Raw genomic sequence first — 26901 nt, 5'->3', positions numbered from 1 at the left:
AGGAAAGAGTAAGAGTGAGATCAGAGTGGGAAGAGGGTCCAGATGTCATAAGTATTGTAGCTGGGTCCAGATAGCGTAGACAGACTTTGGATTTTGTTCTGTGTAAGTGAGGGATTTCTGAACAGGACAATGATATGGTCAGATTTAACTATCAAGATGCTCACTCAAGGCTGGCATGGTGGTTCACGCCTGTAATCTCAGCACTTTGGGAGGCCAAGGCAGGCAGATCACAAGGTCAGGAGTTCGAGACCAGCCTGATCAACATGGTGAAACCCCGTTTCTACTAAAAATACAAAAATTACTTGGGCATGGCGCCTGCAATCCCAGCTACTCAGGAGGCTGAGGCAGGAGAGTCGCTTGAATCCGGGAACCGGAGGTTGCAGTGAGCCAAGATCGTGCCACTGCACTCCAGCCTGAGCAACAGAGCAAGACTAGGTCTCAAAAAAAAAAAAAATTAGCCAGGTGTGGTAGTGCGCACCTGTAGTCCCAGCTACTCCGGAGGCTGAGGCAGAAGAATTGCTTGAATCCGGGAGGTGGAGGTTGCCGTGAGACAAGATCATGCCACTGTACTCCAGCCTGGACAACAGAGCGAGACTAGGCCTCAAAAATAAGAATAAAAATTAAGATGCCCACTCAAGCATCCATATCTGACTTTCTCAGAAGGTTTTCTTATGAAAATCTTGCCTCTAAGAGTGATAATAAGAATAATTTTTATGAGATAGCCATTTCACTTTCAAAGCTTCCTGAAATAAACTATCACGCATGATTTTTATCACAAACCTATAAATATAGGAAGAGCATGTAGTAACATCCATTTAGAAAAAGAAATGGAGGCATGAAGAAATTAAATAAGAAAAAGGAGATTTGTGATGATGTAGCCAGTCCCTAGGAGGCACTACCTCACCAGTATGAGGGCCAACTTGCAGCATAATTAATTGGCTTAATATCTCAAACAACACAAAACATTTCCATTCAGAAATCCAGAGGAAGATCCAGGACCATAAAGGGTTAGATATATTCCTTGCTTAGAGGTATTCTGCACAGGGACTCAGCCTTAAACTAGAGGATAGATGATGATGAACCTTCAGCTCATTCCAAACCTCTGTGAAGTGAACCTGCCAAGTTTGATCTGTCGGCACTTGTGATAATGAAATAATTTATGAGTGTCTGTGATGATAGAATTGAACACGATTTAAAAATCTTTCCTTACTACACAGAACAAAAATGCACTTTCAACTAAGAGATTTCAAATCAACGATCGAAATAAATGTATCTGTCTGATTTTTGGAATGAGTACATGTAGCATAGTTGACTTACTACTAGGGACCAATTAATATTCATTTGTAACACTGAAAGGACTTTCAGTTATTTTATTGAACACCTAAACACAACTACATCTTGGAGAAGAAAACAATTCTGTTGATGAGGGTGTGGGATTCTACTAAACCTGAATCATGTTTTAGAAAAAAAAGCTGTCTTTCAAAATATTAAGTATAGTGTACGTATTGGTACAATTAAACTTCACAGTGAAAATGACTGTTGGTCATCACCAAGTCTGGGGGACTAACTGAAAGAAAGAAATTGATTTGGATGACCTTACACTGTCTTTCCTGTTTTAATAATTCTATGATGTATGCAAGTGGAATTTTCCTGGAGTCTCAAGAGTATTCTTTTTGTTTTTCCAAACTTTTTTATTGTACAACAGCAACCACTTCTACACACAGTTGATCTTTTTGGTGTGGCATTTTCTTGCAAATTTGCCCAGAAAAGGGGCTGTTGTGATGTCTTCAGAGTTCATAATTTCTTGGTATCCACACTAAATTTTGTATATTTTTTTACCTGGTCAATTCTAGAAAGACCCGTTAACAAGATCAACTCTAAAAGAGTTGAAGCTGTGAAATTCTTCATCTGGAGTTAGTTAAGTTTTCTATAATGAGGTAGTGGAAAAAATAAGAGCTAATTCCAGCCAGGGGACACTCATACAAAATAATAGAATCATCCACTGGAAAGCATTTGCAAGATCATCTCTATTTTCTGTTTCCAGGCAAGACATCATCTAAGCCATTTCAACTCCTCAAACTACTTGCAATGTTTTGGAAGGCTCCAATGAAAGAGAACCACATTCTCTGCTCCCTTTCCATTGACAGCCTCATTATTGGGAAGAGCCTTTCATTTCTGGAAATCAGATAGCTCTACAGAAGACAGAAGCCTACCCCAGACTGATTTTGCCAACAGGCTAAAAAAAAAAAAAAAAAAAAAGCTTATCTATAAAATATGACTTTAAGTCAAAGCTGATGAATTTAAAAAGATACTGAAATAGTATTGAAAAAGACTAACACTATTCCTGCTTCGTATTGAAATGTTTCATTCAGATTTATATGATTTTTAAATAGGTTTTTATATTTTCGGCCAAATAATCCATGTTTATTATGGAAAATTACAAAAGGGGAAACAAAAGAAAAAAAATCACTCACAATTCAACCTCCCAAGCAGCTACTGTTAATAATCACTTTTGTATAAAACAATTTCCTCTCTATGTAAAAATCTCTATGAATGTTTTCTAAGGATGGGCTCATACTTTTTACAATTTTTTAACTTTTTGTACTCACTGGCCATTGCACCACCATCTTTCCATGTTTAAAAATAGATATCTATCAACACCTGTGAAAAGAAGGGAAGAAAAATGATAGAAATAGATATCTATATGATAATTTTAATTCATTTTAAATTAAATGTATTTGATGTTTCAGAAATCACTTTAGATTTCCAAGTCTGGTGAAACTAGGACAGCCTGCACACTCTTAACAACTTCTCCACTGAAACAACCAAAAAGCTATATAACATATTTAAATAGGCGCTTTCTAAATGTATTGTTAACCTAGTGAGAAAGTTTTTAAAAATCCATAAAGGTCAAAAATTAATAAAAGTCTCCTGGGAATCCAGAAAGGTGCACAAACACTCAGGCATGCTTTTGTCCTGGGGCATCTGCCAAACCCTGGAGACTGAGTTTTGCTGTGACAGCCTCTCAAGCTCAAGGCTAGGTCCCCCTAAAGAGGAATTTTTCCAGGAGATCCTTACAGAAAGCTGGTAACGTAAACAGTTGTACCTTCCATGAAAGTGAGATCCAGAAATAAACCTGCTCTCAGAGCAAACAGTAAATGATGTATTCATTTATTTTTAATCTTGGACCTGGCTAAATAAGTGAGGAGAGATTTCCTTCTGAGATGTACAGCCCTAACACAGCCTTCATCCAGGTTTGTAGCCTGAATTCATATGATGTGTGTGAATTTCAACAGCTCATGGCTAAGAATTATTTTAAATTGGTTCCAGGTTGATATTGGTCCTAAACACCTAGCAAAAGCAAATTCAGTCCTTTCTAGAGGAGCTCACTTTAAACATAGGCCTTGAACAATTCCACGGATAGTGTTCCAAGATATACAAATACATGATTTTTTAAAAAATCACAAAACCACATAAGGAAGTAAGACACTGTAAGCAATAGCCAGCAGAAATAAAACAAGTAGACAATAGACTCATATATACAAAGACCTTAGGTAAGACGATTAATAAGCATGCAATAAGTTATGTTTAAAATATTTAAAGAAGAGAGAGAATTGAAAATATGAGTAAGAATAAAAGATTATTAAAATAACGGTATATATTTGGAAGAAAAAAGAGTTTCTAGAAAAGAAAAACCTAGTATTTAAAAAAATAAAAATTCAATGGATCTAGAGAATCAATAATAAAACATATGATTTACAAATCAGAAAGATAGCAAGATATAAAATGAATATACAACAATCAATAGAGTATCCATCATATATACACAAACAATGGAAGAGTGAATCCCATTTACAATAGCAATTACAATAGAAATAGCCTTAAGAAAATTTTAAAATCTACATAAGGGAAATGTTAAAACACTTCCAAAAACTTAACTTGCGAACTTAAACAAATAGGTAGAGAATGACTCAATGTCATAAAAATGTCAGTACTCCATAAGTTAATTTTCAGATTTAATAAAGCCCCAATAAAAATGCCAAAAAGATTTGATTATCTTAAAATGAGATAATTTAATACTAAAATTTATATGAAAAAAATAAACATGCATGAATAGTCGGGAAAACACTGAAAAAAATAAAGAGCTATCGAGGGACAGGTGGAGGCAGAAATCTCTGTCATACTCAAATATATCAGAAAGCCATTATAATTACAAGATTATTGTACTAGTTCATGAATAGACAGATTACTTAGTGGAATAGACTAGAAGACACAAGTATATATGGAAATATAATGCATGATAAAGTTGACATCTCTAATTACTGGGACCAAGATAGACTTTTAGTAAATGATGTTAGGTTATGACAATTGAAAAGCCATATAGATGATAATATTGTATCCTCACAGTCTACACAAGAAAGAAAACCCCAATGGATTAGAAAACTCATTATAAAACTGAAGCCATGCAAGTATTAGAAGAAAACATAGATAAATACCTTTGAAATCTGGTGATGAAAGACTTTCAAAATATGTCTAAAAATCTAGAGACAATAAAAGAAAAGATTCATGAACTCAACTCTATAAAAATTTTTAAAATTTTTAAAGAACTTTTGAATGACACAAAACTCTGTAAACAAAAACATAGACAAATGATGAACTGGGAGAAAATATTTTCAACACACATTGCAGATAAAGAACTAATATCATTAATATGTAAATAACTTGTAAACATCAAGATTAAAGAAGGACCAAAACCTTATAGATAAATGGGCAAAATATATGATGTAGACAATACACCCCTAAAAAGATACAAAATGTCCTTACACCTATGAAGAGATCTTCTATCTCATTCATAATTAAATCCAAATGAAAAAGAGTAAAACATTTCACATCTATCCAAGTGATCAAAATTAGTATGTACGATGATATACTCTGTAGGGTAATGAGCACTCATATATTGGTGATGGGTGTGCAAAATGATGCAGTCTCCGTGGATTGAAATTTGGCAACATCTAACAAAACTCGATACACATTTTACGCTTTGACCCAGCAACCCGACTTCTGGGAATTTGCCCTGAAGTTTACTTTCAACAATACGAAAATAAATACATAAAATGTTATTTATTAAGACATTATTTGTAATTGCCAAAATACTGGAAACAACTCAAAAATTCCTATATAGAAAATTGATTGCATGAATGATAGATCCTTGCAATAGAATACTGTGCATCTTTTTTTAAAAACAATAAGGAAAACCTATATGAACTGATATAAAATGATTTCCACGATTGATTGATTGACTGATTGATTTTGAGACAGAGTCTCACTCTGTCACCCAGGCTGGAGTGCAGTGGCACGATCTCAGCTCACTGCAACCTCTGCCTCCCAAGTTCAAGCCATTCTCTTGCTTCAGCCTCTTGAGTAGCTGAGATTACAAGCGCTGGCCACCATGCCCAGCTAATTTTTTCATTTTTAGTAGATATGTGGTTTCATCATGTTAGGCCAGGCTGGTCTTGAACTCCTGATCTCAGGTGATCCACCCACCTTGGCCTCCCAAAGTGCTAAGATTACAGGCGTGAGCTACCACACCTGGCCCAATTTATTTTTAAGAAAATAAGCAAGATACAAAAGCCTCAATGGGAAAAGGTGTCATTCTCTGAGATCAAAAATGCCAAACGAGTCTAGAATGACAGGAAAATTAAAAATATTGTTTTGGGTTGGGAGTGGTGGCTCACACCTGTAATCCCAGCACTTTGGGAGGCCAAGGCTGGTGGATCACCTGAGGTCAGGAGTTCAAGACCAGCCTGGCCAACATGGTGAAACCCTGTCTGTACTAAAAATACAAACTTAGCCAAACCTGGTGGCACATTCCTGTAATCTCAGCTACTTGGGAGGCTGAGGCAGGATAATCGCTTGAACTTGGGAGGTGGAGCGTGCAGTGAGCTGAGATCACACCATTGTATTCCAGCCTGAGAAACAAGAGCAAAACTCTGTCTCAAAAAAAAAAAAAATTTTGCTTTGAACTAATTAAGCTTCAGATGCCTTTGAACTCTTAATTTTGGTATGATTTAATTTATTGATATTTTCCTTTATGGTTTACATTATTTGTATCTTGCACAAGAATTAAAATACACTTTCCCATAATGCCTTCTAAAATTATTTTTTGTTTGTCTTTAATCTAATGTGAAACTAATTTTAGCATGATGCGGTGATTAAATTTTATAATTATTTCTCCAAATGTATTTACTTAATACTTATACAGTATTTTATGTGTGTGGGCACCTTTCTGCATTATACAAATAGTAAAATTAAATTTTCATAAATACATAGCATGCTTATCCCTGTTTTACAGATGAGGGAACAGAATTTTGAGAGGTTAAGTAGCTTACCCAAGGTCACAAAGGAAGTAAGCAATATAGCCAAGGATTTTATCCCAGACACTTTGGCTCTGGAATCCATGCTCCTGGTCCCTAATGAATAGCCAATTGTTCCAGCCAATTGTTCTCCTATTTCTCACTGACTTGCAAGTGTGCCAATACCACAGTTTTTACTGTGTAATATCTTGTTTCCCATAAAGTTCCACCACCTAATAACTTTAGCATCCAGTAATGATTCTTGCCTAAGTCAATTTTTACTATATTTGGAATCCTTCTATATTCATTGTTTGGCATTCTACAGTAAGGAAGGCTATACTATTAATATCTATTTATCTATCTACCTCTAGATCCATGAATTTTTAATTTTTATTCAATGAACTATAATACATTACTATCATAATTTATTTTGATTCTCAACTTATTCCATATTTGGCCAGTGGAACCACTTCAGACTGGCTCTGTGTCCTTTTTGACATGACCTCATCCATTTTTGAACAGTTCTTTTACTTTCTGGAACAAGATGTCCCAGGCTTACCTTGTATTTTCCTTTTCTCAGTCCTGGAATCAGTTATTTCTCCAAAGTGGTTCCTTTCACTGGGGGAGAGTATCTAGAAACCAAGCTCTGAACACTCTTGGGACAAGGTTGCCTATAGGCTCTTTGCAGTTCGCTACTACAGGGCTTCTCTTATAACATAATTCTCTCTCCTTTCTCCACAGTCAGAAACATAACTCCCCAAAACATCAATCTATTTCCTCCTTTGCTCAATCATACAACACACACAAGATAGTTTCAGAATTGCCATACTCATACCATTACCAACAATAAACTCACTAAATACACTTCAAGGTTTCTTAGTAGTTATTTTCTGTTTACATTAGTGATATTTAATCAGAGGATGGGATAGAGAAGTTATTCGGATTATTCTCATTTTCCTTTAGGGTATGGGATTATGTAAAGAGAACAAACCTGTGGCTCGTTGGCATCCCTGAAACGTATTCAATAGAAATATGGTAATGTTTGTTTCTGTTTGTATTAAAATTTAGGTTTCATGCCCATCCATGTTGCTTTAATTTTGTGTTTTGATTATGCAAAACACTAGATAGTTTATGATAGTCAAAACTATGTGCTGCCATGCACACTGCCACTGCTGGCACACACAAGTGCGGATCCTGCTGCCACCACCCCAACGAAGCACTTTTGCTGGCATGCTCCCTCACCCCATTGGAGTGTGGTCGCCAGCAAATCAGGAACACTCCTCAGCCCCTCCAATGCAGCAGGCACTTAACCTCGAGGGGCAAGAGAGCAAACCTGTGGGGCAGATCTTAGCCCCCCAAGGTTAGAGCACAAAGCCTAGGAGTGTCGAACTGAGCCTTGGCCCCCTAAAATCATCCAGAAATAAGGCCAGTCAACTAAACCCAACTTATACCACAGTCAAACTCTGAAGGACATCAAAGAATATAAAAGCAAAAAAAAAAAAAAAAAACCCATCCAAAGGAAAGCAACTTCAAAGATTAAAGGAACATCAGCCCACAGAGATAAGAAAGAACCAGTACAAGAACTATGGCAACTCAGAAAGCCAGAGTATCTTCTTACCTCCAGATGACCATACTAGCTCCCCAGCAAAGGTTCTTAACCAGGCTGAAATGGCTAAAGTGGCAGACATAGAATTCAGACACTGAATAGCAATGAAGATCATCAAGATTCAGGATAAAATCAAAACCCAATCCAAGGAATCTAAGGAATCCAATAAAATTATATAAGAGCTGAAAGATGAAATAGTCATTTTAAGAAATAACCAAACTGGCCAGGCACGGTGGCTCACGCATGTAATCCCAGCACTTTGGGAGGCCAAGGCAGGTTGATCACTTGAGGTCAGGAGTTCAAGACCAGCCTGGCCAACATGGTGAAACCTTATCTCTACTAAAAATACAAAAATTAGTGGGGTGTGGTGGCACACAACTGTAATCCCAGCTACTCGGGAGGCTGAGGAAGGAGAATTGCTTGAACTGGGAGGCAGAGGTTGCAGTGAGCCGAGATCACACCATTGCACTCCAGCTTGGGCAACAGAGTGAGACTCCATCTCAACAAAAAAAAGAAAGAAAAGAAAAGAAAAGAAAAGAAAAGAAAAGAAAAGAAAAGAAAAGAAAAGAAAGAGAAAGAAAGAGAAAAAGAAAGAAGGAAGGAAGGAAGGAAGGAAGGAAGGAAAGAAAGAAAGAAAGAAAGAAAGAAAGAAAGAAAGAAAGAAAGAAAGAAAGAAAGAAAGAGAAAGAAAGAAAGAAACTATCCAAACCAATCTGATAGAGCTGAAAAACTTACTACAAGAATTTCATAATACAATCAGAAGTATTAACAACAAAATGCACCAAGCTAAGGAAAGAATCTCAGAACTAGAAGACCAGTTCTTTGAATCTATTCAGAAAGACAAAAATAAAGAGAAAAAAAGTTAAAAGAATGAACAAAACCTCTGAGAAATGTGGTATTATGTAAAGAGACCAAACCTGTAACTCATTGGCATCCCTGAAACAGAGGGAGAGAGAGCAAGCAACTTAGAAAACATATTTAAGGATATTGTCCACAAAAATGTCCCCAATCTCACTAGAGAGGTTGACATTCAAATTTAGGAAATTCAGAGATCCTATACAAGACACCCATCCCCAAGATACACAGTCATCAGATTCTCCAAAGTCAATGTAAAAGAAAAAAATCTTTTTATTATTATTATTATTATACTTTAAGTTCTAGGGTACATTTGTGGGCGAAGGATATGAACAGACACTTCTCAAAAGAAGACATTTATGCAGCCAACAGACACATGAAAAAATGCTCATCATCTCTGGCCATCAGAAAAAAATCTTAAAGGCAGCCAAAGAGAAGGGGCAGGCCACCTATAAGGGGAACCCATCAGGTTAACAGCAGACCTTTCAGCAGAAACCCTACAAGCCGGAAGAAATTAGGGGCCTATATTCAGCAGTCTTAAAGAATATAAATTCCAACCAAAAATTTAATATCCAGCCAAACTAAATTGATAAGTGAAGGAGAAATAAAATCCTTTTTAGACAAGTAAATGCTAAGGGAAATTGTTACCACCAGACCTGTCTTACAAGAGATCCTTAAGGAAGTACTAAACATGGAAATAAAAAACCATTTCCAGTCACCACAAAAACACACTTAAGTACATAGATCCTTGACGCTGTAAAGCAGCTACACAATCAAGTCTGCATAACAACCAGCTAACAACATGATGACATGTTCAAATCCACACATATCAATATTAATCTTGAATGTAAACAGGCTAGACATCTCACTAAAGGCAAAGAGTGGCAAGTTGGATAAAGAAGAAAGACTCAGCTCTATGCTGTCTTCAAGAGACTCATCTCACATGCAATGACACCCACAGGCTCAAAGTAAAGGATTGGAGAAAAATCTACCAAGCAAATGGAACACAAAAAAGAACAGGGTTACTATTCTAATTTCAGACAAAACAGATTTCAAACCAAGAATAATCAAAAAGACAAAGAAGGACATTATATAAAGATAAAGATATAAAGATAAAGTGTTCAGTTCAATAAGAAGACTTAACTTTCCTAAATATGTATGCACTTAACACATGAGCACCCAGTTCACAAGGCAAGTTCTTAGAGTCCTACAAAGAGACTTAGTTAACCACACAATAACAGTGGGCCACTTCAACACCCCACTGACAGTATTAGACCCATCACTGAGGCAGAAAAGTAACAAAAAAAGATATTCAAGACCCAAACTTAACATCTACAGAACATTCCACCCAACAACAACAGAATATACATTCTTCTCATTCTTATATGGCAAATACCCTAAAATTGACCACACACTCTGCATAAAACAATTCTGAACAAATTCCAAAAAACCAAAATCATACCAACCACACTTTCAGACCACAGCACAATAAAAATAAAAATCAATACTAAGAAAACCTCTCAAAACCATGCAATTACATGGAAGTTAACCTGCTCCTGAATAACTTCTGGGTAAACAATAAAATCAAAGCAGAAATCAAGAAATTCTTTGACAGTCAAAACTATGTGCTTTCATGCACACTCTAGAAGAAATCTAAAACAAATGGATAAATTTCTGGAAACATACAACTTGCCCAGATTCAATCAGAAAGAAATTGAAATTTTGAACAGACCAATAATGAGTTCCAAAATTTTCAAACTGATGAAAACAAAGATACATCATACCAGAATCTCTGGAACACAGCTAAGGCAGTGTTAAGAGGAAAGTTTATAGTGCTAAATGCTCACATCAAAACGTTGGAAAGATCTCAAATTAACAAATTAACATCACACCTAGAGGAGCTAGAGGAACAAAAGCAAACCAACCCCAAAACTAGCAGAAAACAAGAAATGACCAAAATCAGAGCTGAACTGAATGAAATTGAGATGCAAAGAAAACATACAAAAGGTAAATGAAACCAAAAATTGGTTCTTTGAAAGAGTAGATAAAAGTGATCGACTTCTAGTGAGACTAACAAATAAAAAAGAATGAAGATCCAAACACCATCATAAATGACAAAGGGTTATTACCACTGATACAACAGAAATACAAAAAACCCTCAAAGACTATTATAAACACCTCTGTGCACATGGACTAGAAAATCTGGAAGAAATGGAAAAATTCCTGGAAACACACGACTTCTCAAGATTGAACCAGGAAGAAATTTAAACCCTGAACAGACCAATAATGAGTTCCAAAATTGATTCAGTAAGAAGAAGCCTACCAACCAGTAAAAGCCCTAGTCCAGATGGATACAGCCAAATTCTACTAGACACATAAAGAAGAGCTGGTACCAATCCTACTGAAAATATTCCAAAAAAATTAAGGAGGAAGGACTCCTCCTTAACTCATTATGTGAGGCCAGTATCATCCTGATACCAAAACCTGGCAGAGACACAAGAAAAGAAAATTTCTGGCCATTATCCCTGATGAATATAGATACACAAATCAGGAACAAAATCCTAGCAAATTGAATTCACTAGCACATCAAAAAGCTAGTCCACCTCAATCAAGTAGGCTTTATCTCTTGGGTGCAAGGTTACTTCAACATATGCAAATCAATAAATGTAATTCATTACATAAACAGAAGTTAAAACAAAAAACACATGATTATCACAGTAGACACAGAAAAGGCTTTCAATAAAATTCAACATCACTTCATGTTAAAAACCTTCAACAACTAGGCATTGAAGAAACACATCTCAAAATAATAAAAGACATTTATGACAAATCCACAGCCAACATCAAACTGAATGGGCAAAAGCTGGAAGAATTTCCCCTGAAAACTGGAACAAGACAATGATGCCTACTCTTACCACTCCTATTAAACATAGTACTAGAAGTCCTAGCCAGGGCAGTCAAGCAAAAGAAACAAATAAAAGGCATCCAAACAGGAAGAGGTAGTCAAACTACCTCTCTTCACAGATAATATTTTATACCCAGAAAACCCCATAGTCTCTACCCAAAAGCTCCTAGATCTGATAAACAACTTCAGCAAAGTTTCAGGATACAAAATCAATGTACAAAAATTAGTAACCTTTCTATACACCACCAACATCCAAGCTAAGACCCAAGCCAAGAGCACAATCCCAGTCCCAATAGCCAAATAAAATAAAATACCTAGGAATACAACTAACCAGGGAGGTGAAAGATCTCTACAACAACAGTTACAAAACATTGCTGAAAGAAATCAGAGATGACACAAATGAATGGAAAAACATTCCATGCTCATGGATAGGAAGAATCAGTATTGTCTAAATGGTCATACTGCCCAAAGTAATGTATAGATTCAATGCTATTCCTATCAAACTACCAATATTTTTCACAGAATTTGAAAAAGCTATTCTAAAATTCATATGGAACCAAAAAAGAGTCTGAATAGCCAATAAATCCTAAGCTAAAAAAACAAAGCTGGAGGCATCACACTACCTGACTTCCGACTATACTACAATGCTACAGCAACCAAAACAGCATGGTACTGGTAGAAAAACAGAAACGCTGACCAATGGAACAGGTTAGAGAACCCAGAAATAAAGTCTCATACCTACAGCTATCTGATCTTCAACAAAGTCAACAAAAACAAGCAATGGGGAAAGAACTCCCTATTCAATAAATAGTGCTGGGATAGCTGGCTGGCCATATGCGAAGATTGAAACTGGACCCATACCTTTCACCATATATGAAAAACAACTCAAGATGGATTAAAGACTTAAGTATAAAACCTAAAACTATAAAAACCCTAGAAGAAAACCTAGGAGATACCATTCTGCACATAGGACCTGACAAAGATTTCATGACAAAGACTCCAAAAGCAATTGTAACCACAACTAAAATTGACAAATGGGACCTAATTAAAGAACTTCTGCACAGTGAAAGAAACTATCAACAGAGTAACAGACAACCTGCAGGATGGGAAAACTATTTGCAAACTCTGCATCCAAGAGGTCTAATATCCAGAATCTATAAGGAATTTAAACAAATTAACAAGCAAAAAACAACCTCATTTAAAAATGAACAAAGGACATGAATAGACACTTCTCAAAAGAAGACATATAAGCAACCAACAAGCAAATGAAAAAATGTTCAACATCATTAATCAATGCAAATCAAAATCACAATGAAATACTATCTCATACCAGTCACAATGGATATCATTAAAAAGTCAAAAAATAACAGAGGTTGGCAGGGTTGCAGAGAAAAGGGAATGCTTATACACTGTTGATGGGAATGAAAATTAGTTCAGCCACTGGGGAAAGCAGTTTGGAGATACCTCAAAGAACTTAAAACAGAACTACAATTTGACCAGCAATCCCATTACTGGGTATATACCCAAACAAAAATAAAATAAATATCTGCCTTAAAGACACATGCACACATATGTTAATCACAGTACTATTCACAATAGCAAAGACATGGAATCAATCTAAATGCCCATCAACAGTGGATCAGAGAAAGAAAATGCGGTGCATATATACCATGGAATGCTACACAGCCACAAAAAAAAGAACAAAATCCTGTCATTTGCAGCAACATGGTTGGAGCTGGAGGCCATTATCCTAAGAAAATTAATGCAGGAACAGAAAAGCAAATGCATGTTCTCACTTATAAGTGGGAACTAAACATTGAATACACATGGACACGAAGAAGGGAACAATAGTCACTGGGGCCTACTTGAAGGTGGAGAGTAGGAGGAGGGTGAGGATTGAAAAACTACCTATTGGGTACTTCACTTATTACCTGAATGATAAAATAATCTGCATACCAAACTCCTGTGAAATTTTGCCCATGTAACAAACCTGCACATGTACGCCTTGAACGTAAAATAAAAGTTGGAAAGAAAAAGAAAGGGGGTGGGGGGGTTCTTTAAATTTATTTATTTATTTATTTATTTATTTATTTATTTATTTATTTTGAGATGAAGTCTCACTCTGTTGCCCAGGCGGGAGTGCAGTGGCGTGATCTCGGCTCACTGCAACCTCCACCTCCCAGGTTCAAGCAATTCTCCTGCCTCAGCCCCCCAAGTAGCTGGGATTACAGGCGTATGCCACCACGCCCTGCTAATTTTTGTATTTTTAGTAGAGATGGGGTTTCACCATGTTAGCCAGGCTGGTCTGGAACTCCTGACCTCAAGTGATCTACTCGCTTTGGCCTCCCAAAGTGCTGGGATTACAGGTGTGAGCCACCACGCCCAGCCAGAAAAAAATAAAGTTGAGAAACTATGATAAAAGGTATATGTGAGAAGTCACACCCTCCCCTATTACTCTTACAATTCTTCTCTATGGGTAAGCAATTTCCTAGTTTCTGGTTATTCTTAGTGTTTGTGAGGGTTTTTTGTTGCTATTTCGGGTTTTTTTGCAAAAAGAAAAATATAAGTATGCAGAAACACACACACACTCATGCACACGCACACACATGCACCTATCACCTATTGTTATTTTTTCCTACTCTCATAGAAAAGGTAGCACTATTGTGTATTTAGGAATCATCCTCAATGCCTCAGTCTTTGTTGAATTCCATAGTCCTGTTAATCACCAAGACCTTCCCACATCCTCTCTTGCTTACTCTGCCAATCTATTTTCTTTTTCTTTTTCTTTTCTTTTTTTTTTTTTTTTTTTCTGAGACGGAGTCTCACTCTGTCACCCAGGCTGGAGTGCAGTAGCACGATTTCAGCTCACTGCAACCTTCACCTCCCTGGTTCAAGCAATTCCCCTGTCGCAGACTCCTGAGTAGCTGGGATTACAGGCGCACGCCATCACACCCGGCTAATTTTTTTGTATTTTTAGCAGAGACAGGGTTTCACCATGTTGGGCAGAATGGTCTTGAACTCCCGATCTCAGGCAATCCGCCCGCCTCGGCCTCCCAAAGTGCTGGGATGATAGGTGTGAGCCACCACACCCGGCCTCTACCAGTCCATTTTCTATATTGAAGTGAAAGTAAACTTCTCAAAATGTCAATCCAAACAGGTTACCCTCTACTTAATCTCCTTCAATAGTTTCTTGTTACTGTTAGGATAAAGTCAAACATTCTTAATATGGCCTAAAAGATTGCTTTTCCTACTTTGTAACTTTGTCTTGCTCCAATGTTGCCCTTTTAATGATACTTCTTAGAAGACAACTTCCCCCTGACTCTCTTGCCATTAGTCATGTTTAATCACAGGAAAAGCTAATTCCTCTATGATTCCTGGTTGTGCTTATACTTGTAAACACTCATACCAATAAACTTCCGTTCATAATATTTATATCTAAGATTTATCAAGATTATCCCATGAACTCATTTTAATCAGATAGCAGATGGATAAAAATATTTGCATTTGGGAGAATAACCAGACATGGTCTTTTATCAAACAATTCTTCAGCAAATGGAGATATTACAGAGTAAACCAGAACAGCAGTGCTGTGAGTCTTGTCACATCTCCAGGCTGCCTATGAAGGTTGGAGAGGAGAGGAGAGACTGGGAATGTGTATGGAAACTGAAGAGAAGACCTTCAAAATATGTGTGCTATTTGACTCAGAAAATATAGTTATGATATTTACTTCTAGAATTATCCTAAGGAATGACCATGGTTATTTTTGAAATTTAAGAGACAAGGATAATCACAACAGCAAAACAAAATGGACAAAGTATGTGTTATATGTGTTAAGAAGGTCTGGAAGAATATAGACCAAGGAGTAATAAATCATAATTTCCTCTGGGTGATGAGGTGATAGTAATATAAATTTTATTCTTTTTTGTTTCTCTTTATTGCTAATGTTGTCTACAATTATTGTACCTTGCTTTGATCATTTTTGGAGGTAATTTTTATTTTAAAAAAATTGTGTTGGAGTCTTTACTGAGTTTGCTAGCTTTTAAAAATGTTCTCTCCTCCAAGAATAGAAGTTAAAATTCCAGAGAGGAAGCAGCTAGTTGCAAAGGAGAGAGATGGGGAAACACTGAGGGGAAGTAAAGTTCCCTCCCCATCCTCAGCCCATCTATTCTGAAATTTAGCCAGGTCTTCTCCAGCCCACACTTCTGCCATGAAATGACTCCCTCTGCATCACACAGACACCTGCAAGAGGCAGACTGAATTGATGTTTAGGCAGCAAGCCTAGGAAAAAGTGGAGGGTCCTTGCCAAAAACGAATTCAAATTCCTTCTGAGTTTAATTGTTTTCCATTTCACCATGCCTAGATCTCCTCTTTGTCTTCTCTATCCCAAGAATCTTCCTGAAGCTTGGGTACTTAGTCAGGTCTCAGGTGTGAACTATTTGGAAAGAAATAAACATTTTCTGTACCAAAAATGTGTCAGACTCTGAGTCAAGTGTTAGCTCTGAGCCCTCAACAACCTTAAGATTTCCCCCAGGTGTCGAGAGAATGAGAAAACCGCCATAATGGACGATATGTGAGAATCAGGCGGGAAGGTCAGTGGGGTCCAGTCCATCACGGGTAAAAGCATGATTGGAGCACAGCCTCCAAGAGATGCATTTCCATGATGTTTTCTGAGCATTAAGAGACATGGGCTTCCTTAAGACAAGAAAATGTGGGGCCGGGCGCCATGGCTGAGGCCTGTAATCCCAGCACTTTGGGAGGCCAAGGCAGGCGGATAACTTGAGGCCAGGAGTTCCAGACCAGCCTGGCTAACATGGTGAAACCCCATCTCTACTAAAAATACAAAAATTAGCCGGGTGTGGTGGCACACCTGTAATCCCAGCTACTCAGGAGGCTGAGGCAGGAGAATTGCTTAAACCCAGGAGGCGGAGGTGGCAGTGAGCCAAGATAGGGCAACTGCACTCCTGCCTGGGCGACAGTGTGAAACTCCATCTCAAAAAAAAAAAAAAAAAAAAAGAGAAAGAAAGAAAGAAAACATTATGGTTGGGTAGGTATTTCAACCTAGATGTCAGTGACTCTGAAAATATGTTTTGTTTTTGTTTTATAAACCTTGTGATATTGTCACCAACTATATCAGTGTTTTTAAAACTCTTTTCTACTACAATAAAGAGATTTACATCATAACCTAGCATACAGTCACATGTACTCTAAAACACATTTACAAAGAAAATCTTCCCAAAACAATATACACCTTTCCTAAATGCAGATGGATCATTACTATTCTGTCCTATTTCTACTTTTTATCATGCTGGTTTTAACCCACTCTGGTTTCAGAGTAGGCTAGTTTCAACCTGTGAAATATATTTCACAACCCATTAATAGATCCAAACCTGCCTACATTATTTATATAAGTTGCTTTAGGTGATGTTTTCCTGATATTAGCTTTTAAATTTTCATGGATTTATTTTTTACATAAAATTATATTTTGGCCAATATTTTCCAATACTATTATTATCACTACAAATAGGCAAGAGAGGTTGTTCTGTGTTTGTCCACATTATTAGTAAGTTTCTTATTCAGACAAAGCCTTCTCAACCTTCTGTCATTAAATATTCTGTCTTTAACTGCTTGTGTAGAATCTTTATCGTGGCTATTACAGCCATTGCATTTCTGAGTCATAATATTTGTGAAGCAGGGGAGAAGCTAGTTCTCTAAGGAATGCTATATAAAGTGAGTCTGAAAAATAGCATATTTCTAGTTTTTACAAGTATCCAGAAATTGTCCATTCTTCCTTGAATAATGTGCATGTTTCTAAAGATAAAGCATTGCAGTGATTGTGTGATCTTAAGGAAGACATCTCCGAGTGACTGTTTCCTCACCTGAAAGATCATACAATCTCCTAGGGTAATTGGGAGCTTTATAGGAAATAATCCAGAGAAAGGGCGTGGTTCAGCACCAGGCACAACACAAGTTCATTTTGAGACATGACTGTTATTATTATTACTATTAATGAATCCCTTGTGTTAAACTAAGTCCTCTAGAAAACAGAGCCTGAAACAAGAATTAAGATCCTAAAACGGTTTTGGGAAAGTGAGAACCCAAAAGGCAAAGAAAGATGAAAAGCAACACAAGGGGATGTGTTCCATGCTCTCTGCTGTTATGTATTTCATGACACATTGCAAAGAGCCAAAGCAAGTTTGCCTTGCACAAAGAACCTCTCTAGAAGGGTTGCCAGGAGGAACTGCATCTCGGAGTAGCCTACGGAAGAGAGAATGGTGAGGAAATCTACTCACTCTACTACTCTATCTCTCTCTTTTTTTTCCCATTGGTTATGTTTCACTCTGTAAGAAGCTAACTCCTCTGTACTTCTGTGTTGTGTCTAACCCCTTGGCAGTTGCTGAGGAAGTCAGAGCCCTGCTGGATTAGTCCGTTTGTGTTACTATAAAGGAATAGCTGAGACCAGGCAATTTATAAAGGAAAAAACATTTATTTTGGCTTATGGTTCTGCAGGCTGTACAGGCAGCATGGTGCTAGCATCTGCTTCTGGTGAGGGTCTCAGGAAGCTTACAATCATGGTGGAAGGTGAAAGGGGAACCAGAGTGTCACATGGCAAGAGAGAGAGCAAGAGAGAGGGAGGAGCTGCCAGGCTCTCTTAAACAATCAGATCTCACATGAACTCATGGAGTGAGAACTCACCTCATTATTGCGAGGACCACACCAAGACATTCATGAGGAACCCGCCCCCATGACCCAAACACCTCTCACCAGGCTCCCCTCCAACATTGGATGTCACATTTCAACATGACATTTGGAGGGGACAAAACATCCAAACCATATCACCTGCCCTGTTTTGTGGTGTTTCATCCCAGTCTCAAAATGGAAGACCAACCTGGCCGAGGTGAGGTACCACTAGGAGAGAGAAAATTAGAGGTGACTGAGGATAGTAGTAAGAAAGCGTGAAAGGTCTGGGGCTCAGTGCACCTCAAGTGCTCTCACTGGACTCGTCTCAACCCTTAGTTCATGACACACTACTATCATTGTTCCGTACATGTTCACTTTTTTCTTTTCTTTTTTTTTTTTTTTTTTGAGGGGGAGTCTCGCTCTGTCACCCAGGCTGGAGTGCAGTGGTGTGGTCTTGGCTCACTGCAACCTCCTCGTCCGGGGTTCAAGTGATTCTCCCACCTTCTTCAGAGTAGCTGCGATTACAGGTGTGTGTCACAACACCTGGCTAATTTTGTATTTTTAGTAGAGATGGGGTTTCACCATGTAGGCCAGGTTGGTCTCGAACTCCTGACCTAAAGTGATCCACCTGCCTCAGCCTCCCAAAATGTTGGGATTACAGGTGTGAGCCACCACGCCCGGCCTCACTTTTTCTTACTATGATGTAATATGATAAAATGATACCTGTGAACTTATCACCAAGCTGAGAACTAGAATACTGATAATAAATTACAAATATATATCTACACTCATGGATATGTACATAAATATACATACACATATACATAAGTAGATACATATACATGCTGTATTTTTAGTTTTAGTTATTTTGAACTCATTTTTTAATTCAATATTGAAGGATTTATTCCTATCAATACATGTAGTTATAATTGATTTTCAATGATACATAGCATTATTTGTGGGACTGAATTGCATCTATGTTCTCATTATCTAAGCAATGGGTTTCAGATTGTTGTCCTTTTTTTTTCTTGTGAATAGTGATGCCAGTACAGGAATGGGAATGCTGGTTCATAGGGGTTAGGAATATTCAACCTCATGAGATACTGCCAAACTCCTTTCCAGTGTGATTGTGCCAATTTATTCTTCCTCCAGCAATTTATAAGAGATGTAAGAGATTTTGATGATAACATCTTTCTAAAGGTCGGTTTTGTCGGGCTTCTTAATAATTGCCAATTATAATGAAATAAATATGAAATGAAATTAAATAAATGTATCTCGGTCTCACAGTGGAATGCTACATATTATTAAAAATCAATTATATATGTAATCAAATATATATACATACATAATGAATAGGTGTAAAATGATGTATCATTAAGACATAGTAAAATGGCCTTATTTGGCCCAGCAGAGATAGAACTCTTTGACTTGGAATGAATGGACAAGGAAATAAATTTCTTTGTGATAACAGCAATAGTAGCTAACAGTTAGTTACTGGCTGCCTGATACAGCCAGGTATTCTAATTTTATATATAAGGTTAAAGTAAATATGTGAGAAATATTTTTATTAGATTCATTTTACTAAAAAAAAAAACTGGGGTTCAGAAAGGTTAAGTTGCTTGAGCAAAACCTTAATTTAAAGCTACTTCATGTTAGGAATTAGGATTCAAAACTCAGTCAGTCTAGCTCTACATGCACAATGACAAGAGCAAGTATGACAGTTTGAATCATGTAAAGGTTTCTTAGGGGCAACGCATCTATAAATTTCTGCCAGCCCTGTAGGATTTCACTAGCAAAAGAGAGAGTAGAGGAAAGAAACAAGTTATACCACTAGGTCAGAAAAATAATTTTTAAAAAGAATGTTTTTATGTTTATGTTTTCTTTAACTTCTGTTATCTTCAGTTTTAGGACAGTCTTTCAAAAATGTCAGCCTCTCAATCCCTCAATTTTGGCCAGTGAATTCTGAGTGGAAGTAAACATGTGTTATTTCTGAGTCAGGACAGTGTGAGAGACCAGATAGGTCAAGACCAACGTGATGATGGGAATGTTCCATAATCCACACTACAAAATATAGTAGCCAGTAGCCACAAGTGGAAAAAATTATCAGGCACTTGAAATGCAGCTTGTGCAAAGAAGGGACTGAAATTTCCATTTTCTTTGATTTTAATTACTTTTGAATCAAATCTAAGTAACTGCAGGTGGCTACAAGCTGTGTAAAGCACAGTCCAGTTTCTAGGGTTTTCTTTTTGTTGCGATGACCAGTGTTGCTCCATCTAGCGGTTGGTCCATCAGCCTGAGAAGGGGCGACTCAGAACAGCGCTTCCCAGCTGATGGTTGATTTGAATGTGTGTTAAAAAGAAATAAACTTCTGATGTTTTAAGCCACTGAGATTATTTTCCTGCAGTAAAACAACCTATCCTACGAGAGACAGGGGTAACTAGATAAGAGCTTTAATGGAAGGGTTGGAATTGAGTTTCCATTGCCCACTGTGGCGCAGGCATGGGTGGCCATGTGTTCCACGCACAGACACGGCCCTTCTAATGGCACCCTCCTGACACCTGCACTGTGGCCTCTCCAGGCCGGGGCACTACCCTAAAGAGTGAGAATAAAGCACGTAGTGTTGGGTATCACATAACCTAATTTGAATTTCTGCGCCACCACTTAATAACTGTGTAAGCTTGGGAGAATTACAAAAGCCTTTGAGCACTAGTTTCAGGGTCTCTTAAATAGCCGTAATGGTAGTCCTTAATTTACAGGATTGTTAGGAAGACTAGTTAAGAGAATGTTTATAAATTGGATGACACATAGTAACTGTTCATAGAAAGATCAGCTACCTCTTCTTATTCTTACATTGTTATTCTCATTATGTTCACGGAAGTGCAGAAGTGCAGAAGCACACACACAATGGGGAGTCTGCACACACATGTCTTCAATCTCAAATTCTGACACTCATGAGCTGTCTGACCCTAAACTATCTAGTTTCTCTCAGATTACTCATTTCCAAAATGGATAATAAAATACTAAAGTGAAGGCCGGGCACGGTGGGTCACGCCTGTAATCCCAGCACTTTGGGAGGCCAAGGCGGGCGGATCGCCTGAGCTCAGGAGTTTGAGATCACCCTAGGGAACATGGTGAAACCCGGTCTCTGCTAAAATACAAAAACTTAGCCGGGTGTAGTGGCATGCACCTGTAGTCCCAGCTACTCAGGAGGCTGAGGCACGAGAATCTCTTAAGCCCGGGAGGCAGAAGTTGCAGTGAGCCAAGATCGTACTACTGCACTCCAGCTTCGGCTACAGAGTGAGACACTCAAAACAAAAGCAAAAACAAAACTAAAGTGGAGTTGCTATGAGGGTTAAATGAGAGAGTGTCTTGAAGTGCCTGGTACATAGCAGATGTTCAGCATGGACTCCTTTTATGTCCAAGCTGCTGCCTTTCCTATCTTACCCTCCTCTCTGCATCATACTTACCATTCTTTCTCTTTCTCTGTCACACATACAAACACACACACACACACTCTCTCACACACACACACACACACACACACACACACACACACACACACATCTGTATATCCTTCCCATTATCTTATTTAACCTGGCCATAAACAACTGGACAGTTTCTGGCTACAGTAATAATGCTTAAACCATTCCAAACTCACCGCATCCTGCCATATGTCAAAGGAATTGACTAAGGTAAGCAGTGGTGCAGCTGGCAGTACACCAGGGCCACCATGTAGCCAGCCCTGAAGAGACAGTAAAGATGTCTCTTGAATTTCTAAGCTTATGAGATGGAGAAAATGTCATTGACTAATATTCCAGGAAGCAGGAAATATGTGATATGTTTCCTCACCCATCATAAGGATCAAAGCTGACACGCCATAACAAAGGACAGGTTAACAAGAGAAAAGCATAACAAATTTATTTAATCAAAGTCATCCATGACATGGGAGCCCTCAGAAATGAAGACCCAAAGACCCAGAGAAAATGGTTCATTTTTATCCTTAGATTTAGTAAAGTGTAGACGGCCATGTGGAAATGTGATTGGAAAAATGGGTATGATCTAATGGTAATAGACTGGGGGAGAGAGAGTTAACCCAGCAAGGCCTGTCTGTTCAGATTCTTTTTGGCCTCTCTATGCAGCACTTCTTCCTCCTGGTATAGGACAGAAGCCCTCTAGAAGGAGGGTCTTATGACCTACTATCAGAAAGGTAGGTCAGAGAATTTCTTAAGGCCAGCTCCTACACAGAAGGCAGGGGAAGGTTAGAGTAATATAGCTGGTTTCTATAACCTGCCCTGGGGAAGAAGAATTCTAATTTCTCTCTCCCTTTTTTTCTTTTTTGAGATGGAGTCTCGCTCTTCTCACCCAGGCTGGAGTGCAATGGCACAATCTTGGCTCACTGCAACCTCTGCCTCCTGGGTTCAAGCAATTCTTCTGCCTCAGCCTCCTGAGTAGCTGGGATTACAGGTGTGTGCCACCATGCCCGGCTAATTTTTGTATTTTTAGTAGAGACAGGGTTTAGCCATGTTGGTCAGGCTGGTCTCGAACTCCTGACCTTAGATGATCTGCCTGCCTTGGCCTCCCAAAATGCTGGGATTACAGGCATGAGCCACTGTGCCTGGCCTCGAATTATAATTTCTATGGCTTGCCATCAAGGAAAAAGGAGAGGAGACCTCAGGGCAGGAGAATGTTGGAGAGAGAGACTTTGCTTCTGAGGCTACTTCTGAGGCCTTCCAATCTCCTTTAGTTCTAAGTACTCAACAAGCCAAAGCATTGTATTTTGGGGTGTCATTTTCTGAGCTCCTACAGTGGAGTCAGCCTAACCTGGCACAGTTACTCCATGAGAGAAGCAATGAGACCTGGGGACGGGGCTACATTTCCTTGGTGACAGTGGATTATTATGTGGGGACAAAGTGGAGCTTGAAGAGAGAACCTAAAGAGATAATGAAATCTAGGGTCCCATCTCCCAAGACGCTGCTAAACATCATGAAATTCCAGGTGTGGTTGAATTTGTGTGCCTAAAGTAGAAGATGTGGAAACTTCTGCTCCCAATTGGAACTGCTACAGACTGAAGGAGACTAAGGAGAAATAACAACTAAATGTCATATGGAGTTCTGGATAGGATCCTGGAACTAAAAAAGGACAATAGTTGAAACACTAATGAAATTGAAATAGAGTCTACATTTAGTTAGTATAGTGCCAATTTTAATTTCCTGGCTTTGGTAATTGTACTATGGTTATATAAGGTGTTTGCCTAAGAGGAAGGTTATTTGGGGCCAACCCTGCCATTGAGAATAAACAAATTTAAAAACTGGAATAAATGATTGAGGTATAATTTGTATGCCGCAAAATGTGCAAATTTTACATTAAAATTTATTGCATCAAAATATTTTTATGTAAGGCCGGGCGCGGTGGCTCATGCCTGTAATCCCAGCACTTTGGGAGGCCGAGGCGGGCAGATCACCTGAGGTCAGGAGTTCGAGACCAGCCTGACCAACATGGAGAAACCCCATTTCTACTAAAAATGTAAAATTAGCCAGGCATAGTGGCTCATGCCTGTAATCCCAGCTACTCGGGAGGCTGAGGCAGGAGAATCTCTTGAACTCGAGAGGCAGAGGTTGCATGTGGTGAGCCGAGATCGCGCCATTGCACTCCAGCCTGGGCAACAAGAGTGAAACTCCATCACAAAAAAAAAAAAAATATATATATATATAAATATTAAAATACATATTTAGGCCAGGCACGGTGGCTCACGCCTGTAATCCCAACATTTTGGGAGATCGAGGCAGGTGGATCACCTGAGGTCAGGAGTTCAAGACCAGCCTGGCCAACATGGTGAAACCCCATCTCAACTAAAAATACAAAAAACTAATTAGCTGGTCATGGTGGTAGGTGCCTGTAATCCCAGCTACTTCGGGAGGCTGAGGCGGGAGACTCACTTGAACCCAGGAGGCAGAGGTTGCAGTAAGCCGAAATTGCACCATTGCACTCCAGCCTGGGCAACAAGAGCAAAACCCTGTCTCAAAAATAAATAAATAAATAAATAAAATACATATTTATCAGGCTGGTGGATAACTTGAGGTCAGGAGTTTCAGACCAGCATGGTGAAACCCCATCTCCACTAAAAATACAAAAAGTAGCCACGCATGGTTGTCCATGCCTGTAATCCCAGCTACTTGGGAGGCTGAGGCAGGAAAATCACTTGAACCCAGGAGGCAGATGCTGTAGTGAGCTGAGACCCTGCCACTGCACTCCAGCCTGGGTGACAGAGCGAGACCCTGACAAAAAAAAGAAGGGGGGGGGCAGTATTTTTTAAATATTTTGGTCTTTTTTTTTTTTTTTAAGAAGAAAAGAAGGGATGGAACGTCACACTTATTGTGGCTCAGGAAGCCAAGCAATAGAAATCATTTTAAAGTCTTTCAGATCCTAGGCACTAAAATTTGTGCCTGGGCCATGTTCTCCACAATTCTCCAAGGGACAAGATATCCCCAAGTGACATCTGGGCTATTACAGGGTAGTTTGTCTGAGTGGCTGCAGTATTCCAGATGAAAGAATGACCACTCTAAGGGAATGAGGTTGGCATTTAGAAGAAGACTTTGCTCTTCCTTAAACGAAAAGTCAGGAATATTTAGTCCAATAGGAGCTGAGCGGGGCCAGCAAGTCCATGTTCCAAGTCCAGGAATGATTCTCTTAGGAATAAGAAACAGCAAGTATTGCCTTTCTCTATTGTTAAAATGATATTTACATTTCTCCAAGGATATTGTAAGAGAGCTTTTAACTTAATGAGGTGTAGTAGTAGCTACTCGTTTGATTTTGGCAGTTAGGAAGATGAGTGAGCCAAAAAAGAAATGATAGAAACAAAGAAAATTTTTAACAGGTCAATAAGTTTTAAATTAAAAATTTATTTTAAAATCAAAACAGAAATTAAATGAACCCTGCAAAAACACAAGGGGGCAGCATTTCATAACATTACAAATAAATGCTGACTCAGCTTTTTGGGGTAAAGCTATATACAAATAAACAAAGAAGTTATCAAGTGAGTCATCCTAAGTAACCTTAAGTCACAGAGCTCAAGAGTGGCAAAACAAGGACCGTCACTAATGCTTCCTACTATCAATTGAGTATTTTTTTCTTTTTTGGAGGGGGGACAGGGTCTCACTCTGTCACCCAGGCTGGAGTACAGTGGCGCGATCTCGGCTCACTGCAACCTCTGCCTCCCTGGTTCAAGCAATTCTCCAGCCTCGGCCTCCCAAATAGCTGGGATTACAGGCGCACACCACCATGTCCAGCTAATTTTTGTATTTTTAGTAGAAACGGGGTTTCACCATGTTGGCCAGGCTGATCTTGAACTCCTGACCTCAGGTGACCCGCCTTCCTCAGCCTCCCAAAGTGCTGGGATTATAGGCGTGGGCCACCACGCCTGGCCTCTCTGAGTATTTTTCCACCCCATGTTGTCTCATATGGTCTTCCTGGATTAAAGATCCCTGCTACATGCTGAAAATGACTGACTTCTCACCAAAAGACCCATGGATAAGGTTTCTATTTTCTGTGGACACCAATTAGGGCATAGGTGACTGACACTTTGTCACTAAAGATGAATAGTTCAATTGGAGTAAAACATGAATCAACTTCCAGAACAGACCTATGCTCTCAATGTAATTATGCACGAATCTTCAACATCAAGGAGGCCTTAAGGAAATGGTTAGGTTGAGACAGTTTTAAAAATGTATTTTGCAAATGTTAAAACTGTGCATTTTCATTTCTCCCTTGAATCATGTTTTATTGCATTCTCTTACCTACCTGCCCTCTTTAGAAAGACAATGAAATCAGACTTTCTGAGGAGAGAAAACAAGGATTTGCTATAGCACTTTGTAGAGCCCATCTTTAAATCAAGGTCAGGGCTGGTGGATGAATTTGCAGTTTTTCGTAATGTAGGGAAGCTTCCTTTTCTGCCCATGACAGTCAGGCCCTGGGACTTGCTGCTCTATGCTTAAAGGTGGCTACAATGTCAGAGAGTAGGCAAAAATCTTGCCTCTTCTAACTGAAGGGACTGTGGGAAGAAGGTATACAGAAAGAAAGGAGGAGGATGAAGTGGTCGGTGTGTTTGTTTTGGGTTTTCTTCTTGGAAATAGAGCCTGAAGGCTGAAGAAAGCCAATGGGAAGAGAGATTTCTACCCTCCTTCATACTCAGGACTCTAGAAGTGATGGCCACTCCTTAGCTGCCCAACTAGGCAATGGCCACCTCAAAGTAAACCTGGCTGTCCTTCGTGGTTAGTAGAGAAAGTAAATGACTCTGAGCTTCCCCAGACAATTTTCTGTAGAGGGTCCACGAGATCCTGAGGCTCCAAGAGACCTTGGAAGGCAGCAGTGTGGAGACCCTGAAGGTGTCCTACATGCCCGCTGCGGCAAAGGATAGGGCTGCCCCAAGGCAGAACCCGAATGTGGGTGGCAGAGCCAGAGGGCCAGGAGGAAGACATGGTGGAACCAGGGTAGCTGTAGGGCCAGAA

The 26901-nt window shown here is 38.8% G+C and overlaps 1 long non-coding RNA gene across 1 annotated transcript in view; it reads right to left on the bottom strand.

The window, feature by feature from the left end:
• Positions 1–2488: 2488 nt before the first annotated feature.
• The window catches only part of LOC105375730 (uncharacterized), a 37891-nt gene continuing 13478 nt past the window's right edge, over positions 2489–26901 (bottom strand). The window contains exons 2-3 of the long non-coding RNA XR_928593.4: positions 4497–4541; positions 2489–2661 (exon numbers count right to left, since the gene is read on the bottom strand). This is a non-coding gene — a long non-coding RNA (uncharacterized LOC105375730). The remainder of the gene's footprint in view (positions 2662–4496; positions 4542–26901) is intronic.

This window comes from Homo sapiens, chromosome 8, assembly GCF_000001405.40.
Source record: "Homo sapiens chromosome 8, GRCh38.p14 Primary Assembly".
Lineage (NCBI taxonomy): Eukaryota > Metazoa > Chordata > Mammalia > Primates > Hominidae > Homo > Homo sapiens.
This window is presented reverse-complemented; position numbering and strand designations above follow the sequence as displayed.